The sequence below is a fragment of the Homo sapiens genome, chromosome 7 (assembly GCF_000001405.40).
Source record: "Homo sapiens chromosome 7, GRCh38.p14 Primary Assembly".
NCBI lineage: Eukaryota > Metazoa > Chordata > Mammalia > Primates > Hominidae > Homo > Homo sapiens.
This window is the reverse complement of record NC_000007.14, coordinates 93,173,305-93,179,740: the sequence shown is the minus strand read 5'-3', so window position 1 is coordinate 93,179,740 and position 6,436 is coordinate 93,173,305.

Sequence of the window (6,436 nt, the reverse complement as noted above, 5' to 3'; positions counted from 1 at the left end):
GGTTACAGAGGGAAAGCTAAGTTAAGACAGGTAGTTCTTAATGTAAGTTTCATCTACACCAGCAGGGGCCATTTGGTCTTCCAAGAAAAGTTGGCTCCCTGCAAGCCTGCTTGCTTCTCAGTCATTGGACTATTGAAATCTAGAAATGTTGGGTAAGAAGTCATCAAAGCAACTCCTAAGGATTGATGGTAAAAACAGTGGACAGTGGTGACATTCAAAACCATCCCTACAAGGACACATCAGTCTGACATTTAAATAGTTTGTTTAAAATACAATTTTCACACTGCAAAGCTAGAAAGTCACTGTACAACTTATCAAGTTAAGTATGTCACATACATTCATATCCAGAGTTTCACAGTGCTAAGTTTTATGATCAGATCATGAGAGTTCTTTGCCTTTCTGACTTATGACCTATATGTTTCCTTCTTTAAAAAAAGAAAGTTTTACAAGCAGAAGAATGAAAGGTGGCAAAGTTTACTATAAGACAACTGGTATTGCAAGGAATTTGCAAATGACATGGTGAAGTATACTCCACAGCCTAGAACAGGGGTTCCCAAACCCTGGGCCACGCACCAGTGTGTTAGGAACTGGGCTGCACAGGAGGAGGTGAGCAGCAGGCCAGTGAGTAAAGCTCCATCTGTATTTACAGCTGCTCCCCATCACTGGCATTACCACCTGAGCTCTGCCTCCTGTCATATCAGTGGCAGCATTAGCTTCTCATAGGAGCAGGAACCCTATTGTGAACTGCGCATGCGAGGGATCTAGGTTGCACACGCCTTATGAGAATCTAATGCCTGATGACCTGTCACTGTCTCTCATCACTCGCAGATGGGACCGTGTAGTTGCAGGAAAGCAAGCTCAGGACTCCTACTGATTCTACATTATGAGTTGTAGAATAATTTCATTATATATTACAACATAATGATAATAGAAATAAAATGCACAATAAATGTAATGCACTTGAATCATCCTGAAATTACCCCACCCCAACCCTGCCACCCCCCACTCCCCGGTTTGTGGAAAAATTGTCTTCCATGAAACCGGTCCCTGGTGCCAAAAAGGTTGGGGACCACTGGCATAGAGGATAAGATAAATTCCAATAAGCTTACATTGTTACAGAATTGCAAGTACAACAGACCATTAAGACTAAAAGCATAAGTTTAGAATGGGTGACCAATTTGATTTATATATAAGGTTAAAGACGGAAAGGACTGTTTTTCTAGAACTGTTTATAGTTTATCTGCTATGAAAGAGGGTGGCTGGGATGTCCATTCGAGATCCCTTCCAACAGAGAATTACAAACATGGTTACATTCCTTAATCCTTTAGTGCCATCTATGGTCCCAATTTAGAAAGTGTCAGTTTAAAACAAATTCTAGATACTGTGACGTCTCCTAGTTTAAAATTAGCATATTAATCTCTCAATTACATTTCTTTTGGGTTTGACTAAATGAACTGGATATCTTTCTGAAGGGCAATTTGGCAATATGTATTATGAGATTTAAAAATGTTTAAACTCCTTAACTCAGTGACTCCATGTCTAAGAAATATCAAGAGAGAAAGATACATGTATAAGTATATTCATTACAATATTATTTTTAAAAACTTAATGTGCAAATGATTATAATACATCTATATGATGGAATATGATGCATCCATTTTTCAAAATGTGTCAAAGGAAAAAAAATCACCTTCAGTTGCAATCTCTATAATTTTTCTCCTTAAAGAAAGATTTCAAGTCTTTCATAAACTGTCGAAAATCTGAAGAGATCTATAATGCTACACCATGCTACATCACACCAAAATACAATCCATAACCCACAAAACTAAACAGCTAGCTATGTGCCTAGCAAATAGAATTTACAAATATGCTAGAAGATAGTGTTAAATTTTGCATATACACCATTCAAGATAAGTGATATAAAATCTTTACTTTGCAGAGAAAACAGAAGTTACCAGATTGAAACTCCTTCATCTTTTTGAAATAAAACATACTTACCTCCCCTGTCTATCCTGGTCTGCATCTCTCTGACTACCAGAGAGGGGAATAATCTCTCCACCTCTGTTCTGGATTTTACCCCATTACCCACTTCAAGAACTTTACACCATTCATCTTCTCTTTTCTTCTCCATGTGTATTCAAACTTTTCTCTCAATTGAATGTTTTACACCAACTTTAAAACATACTCAAGTGAATGTTATTTAAAACAAAAAATGAAAAGAATTTCTCACTCAAATCCATGTCCTCCACCTCCTCACTTCTAGCAACTGTAGTACTATTTCTATCACTGACTTCACAGTCATTCTTGATTTTCTTTTTGTGCTATTGCAATTTTCACACCTCCTGCTCAATCCTAAACCTACTTCAGTCTGGCACATAACGCCATTACAGAGTGAAATAGCCCTCTGTAAAGTCACTAATGACTTCTCTGTTGCTAAATTCATGGATTTTTTCAGTAGTCATTGTACTGTTTCAGCAGTAGTCAACATTCTTGATCAATGCCTCTTTCCTGAAACACGCACTACCCTTGGTCTTCCCCTTTTCTTCAGCTACTTCTGAGTCTTCTTTGTTGTTCATTCTCCTCTTCTTGACCATTAAATGTCACAGCACAGTTTTTGGCATCCTTCTCACTCTATAATCTCCCCTTAGGCAATTTCTTCATAGTTATGGTTTCAATCACCACTTACATGCAAATAATTTACAAACTAATTTCTAGCCCTATGCTTTTCTCTGAATTCCAGGAACACACACACACACACACACACACACACACACACATGCACACACACACACAAGCAAAAAGTGGCCAAGTGACACCACTTCTCTAAGGAATCTCAATCTCTACTTGACCAAAGCATAATTTATAGCTTTTTCTTCCAAATTTACTCTCTTTCGGTGCTCTCTTTAGTCCTATAAATGGCCCTACAACCTTTCTAGTCATGCAAACCAAATCCCGAAAGTCATCCTGGGTACCCCCATCTCTACCATGCGTGTGTAATCCATTCCCAGGCTCTGTGGATTTTATTTCTTACCTCTTCAATCCATCTCTCCATCTCCACCATTATATTGATCCAGGTCACCATTATCTCTTGTCTGATGCAACAGTCTTATTACTTTTAATAGTCTTAATGCTTTTATTTCTTCTTCCTCAATCTTATTTATTTGCTTTCTTTTCTAAATGTACTAGCTAGAACTTCTAGCACAATTTTGAGTAGGAGTAAAGAAAGAGAACATCTTTGCCTGGTTCCTTATCTTAAGGCGAAAACATTCATTTTCTCACCATTAAATATGATGTTGGCTGTAGTTTTTTTGTAGGTGCTCTTCACCAAACAGAGAAATTTCTCCTCTATTCCTAGTTTGCTAAAAGCTTTTTATTATAAATGGGTGTAGGATTTTGCCAAATGCTTTTGCTGTATCAATCAATAGGATTATATAATGTTTCTTCTTTAGCCTGTTGGTAGAATGGATTGCAATAATTAATTTTCAAATGCTGAAACTGCCTTTCATATTCAGAATAAATCCCAGTTGGTTATTGTGTTAGTCTGTTCTCACACTGCTATAAAGAAATACCCAAGACTGGATAATTTATAAAGGGAAGAGATTTAATTAACTCACAGTTCCACATGGCTGAGGAGGCCTCAAGCAACTTACAATCATGGCGGAAGGCAAAGGGGAAGCAAGGACCTTCTTCACATGGTGGCAGGAGAGAGAAGTGCTATCAAGAGCAGGGAAAACTGCCTTATAAAGCCATCAGATCTCATGAGAATTCACTCACTATCATAAGAACAGTATAGGGGAAATCGCCCCCATGATCCAATCACTTGCCACCAGGTCTCTCCCTAAACACCTGGGGATTACAATTCAAGGTGAGATTTGGGTGGGGACACAAAACCTAACAATATAATTCCACCCCCAGCTCCTCCCAAATCTTGTGTCCTTATATTTCAAAACCAATCATGCCTTCCTAGCAGTCCCCTAAAGTCTTAACTCATTTCAGCATTGACTCAAAAGTTGAAGACCAAAGTCTCATCTGAGACAAAGCAAATCCCTTCTGCCTGGGATCCTTTAAAATCAAAAGCAAGTTAGTCACTTCCAAGATACAATGAGGGTACAGGCATTGGATAAATGCTCTCATTCCAAATGGAAGAAATTGGCCAAAACAAAGGGGCTACATACAGGTCCCATGCAAGTCAGAAATCCAACAAGGCAGTCATTAAATCTTAAAGCTCCAAAATAATCTCCTTTGATTTCATATCTCATATCCAGGTCATGCTGACACAAGAGGTAGGATCCCACAGCCTTGGGCAGCTCCAGCCTTGTGGTTTTGCATGGTATAGCACCCCCTGGCTGCTTTTTCAGGCATATGGTGCAAATTGTTGGCGGATCTACCATTCTGGGGTCTGGAGAATGGTGGCCCTCTTCTCACAGCTCCACTAGGCAGCGCACCAGTGGGGACTCTGTGTGGGAGCTCCAACCCCACATTTCTCTCCCATACTGCCTTAGCAGAGATTATCCATGAGGTCCCCACCCCTGCAGAAGACTTCTGCCTATACATCCAGATGTTTCCATACATTCTCTGACATCTAGGCAGAGGTTCCCAAACCTTAATTCTTGTGTTCTGCACACCTGCAGGCCCAACACCACATGGAAGCTGCCAAGGCATGGTGTTTGCACTGCCTGAAACAATGGCCTGGGCTGTATGTTGGTCTCTTTTAGCCATGGGTGGGATGCAGGACACCATGTGCTGAGGCTGCCCAGAGCAGCAGCAGCCCTGGCCCAGCCTAGGGAACCATTTTTCTCTCCTAGGCCTCCAGGTCTATGATGGGAGAAGTTGCCCTGAAGACCTTTGACATGCCCTGGAGACATTTTCTCCATTGTCTTGGTGATTAACTCCTCATTACTTATGCAAATTTCTGCAGCAAGCTTGAATTTCTCCTGAGAAAATGGATTTTTCTTTTCTTTTCTTTTTTTTTTTTTTTTTAGATGGAGTCTCTCTCTGTCGCCCAGTCTGGAGTGCAATGGCATGATCTCGGCTCACTGCAACCTCTGCCTCCTGGGTTCAAGCAATTCTCCTGCCTCAGCCTCCCAAGTAGCTGGGACTACAGGTGCCTGCCACCACTCCAAGCTAATTTTTGTACTTTTAGTAGAGATAGGGTTTCACCTTGTTGGTCAGGCTGGTCTTGAACTCCTGACCTTAAGTGACTCAACCACAGCGGCCATCCACACATCCATCCACTTAAGGATGGATGACCTTAAGTGATCCATCCCACAGTGCTGGGATTACAGCCATGAGCCACCACACCCAGTGGGTTTTTCTATTCTATTACATCATCAGGCTGCAAACTATCCAAACTTTTTTTTTCTTTTTTGAGACAGAATTTTACTCTCGTTGCCCAGGCTGGAGTGCAATGATGCGATCTCAGCTCACCACAACCTCCACCTCCCAGGTTCAAGTGATTCTCCTGCCTCAGCCTCCCAAGTAGTTGGGATTATAGGCAGGCACCACCATGCCTGGCTAATTTTGTATTTTTGGTAGAGATGGGGTTTCTCCATATAGGTCAGGTTGGTCTCAAACTCCCAACCTCAGGTAATCTGCCTGTCTCGGCCTCCCAAAGTGCTGGGATTACAGGCATGAGCCACCACACCCAGAAAAATTGTCCAAATTTCCCTTTTAAGTTCCAATTTCAGATCATCTCTCTCAAGTTCAAAGTTTCACAGATGTCTATGGCAGGGATAAAATGCTGCCAGTCTCTTTGCTAAAGCACAGCAAGAGTACACTTTGTTCCAGTTCCCAGTAAGTTCCTCATCTCTATCTGAGACCACCTCAGCCTGGACTTCATTGTTTACATCACTATCAGCATTTTGGTTAAAACCATTCAACAAGTCTCTAGGAAGCTTCAAATGTTCCCACATCTTCCTATCTTCTTCTGATCCCTCCAAACTGCTCCAACCTCTGCCTTTTACCCAGTTCCAAAGTTGCTTCCACATTTTGGGGTATCTTCATAACAGTGCCCCATTCCCAGTACCAATTCACAATATTAGTCCATTCTCACACTGCTATAAGGAAATACCCAAGACTGGGTAATTTATAAAGGAAAGAGGCTTAATTGACTCACAGTTTCACATGGTTGAGGAAGCTTCAGGAAACTTTCAATCATGACAAAAGGCAAAGGGGAAGCAAGGACCTTCTTCACATAGTTGCAGGAGAGAGAAGCTCTAACAAGAGCAGGGAAAATTGCCTTATAACATAATCAGATCTCATGAAAATTAACTCTCTATCATGAGAATAGCATGAAGGAAACTACTTCCATAATCCAATCACTTCCCACCAGCTCTCTTCCTAAACACCTGAGGATTACAATTCAAAGTGAGATTTGGGTGGGGACACAAATCTAACCATATCAGTCACAATATATAACTCTTCTTAAACATTTTTG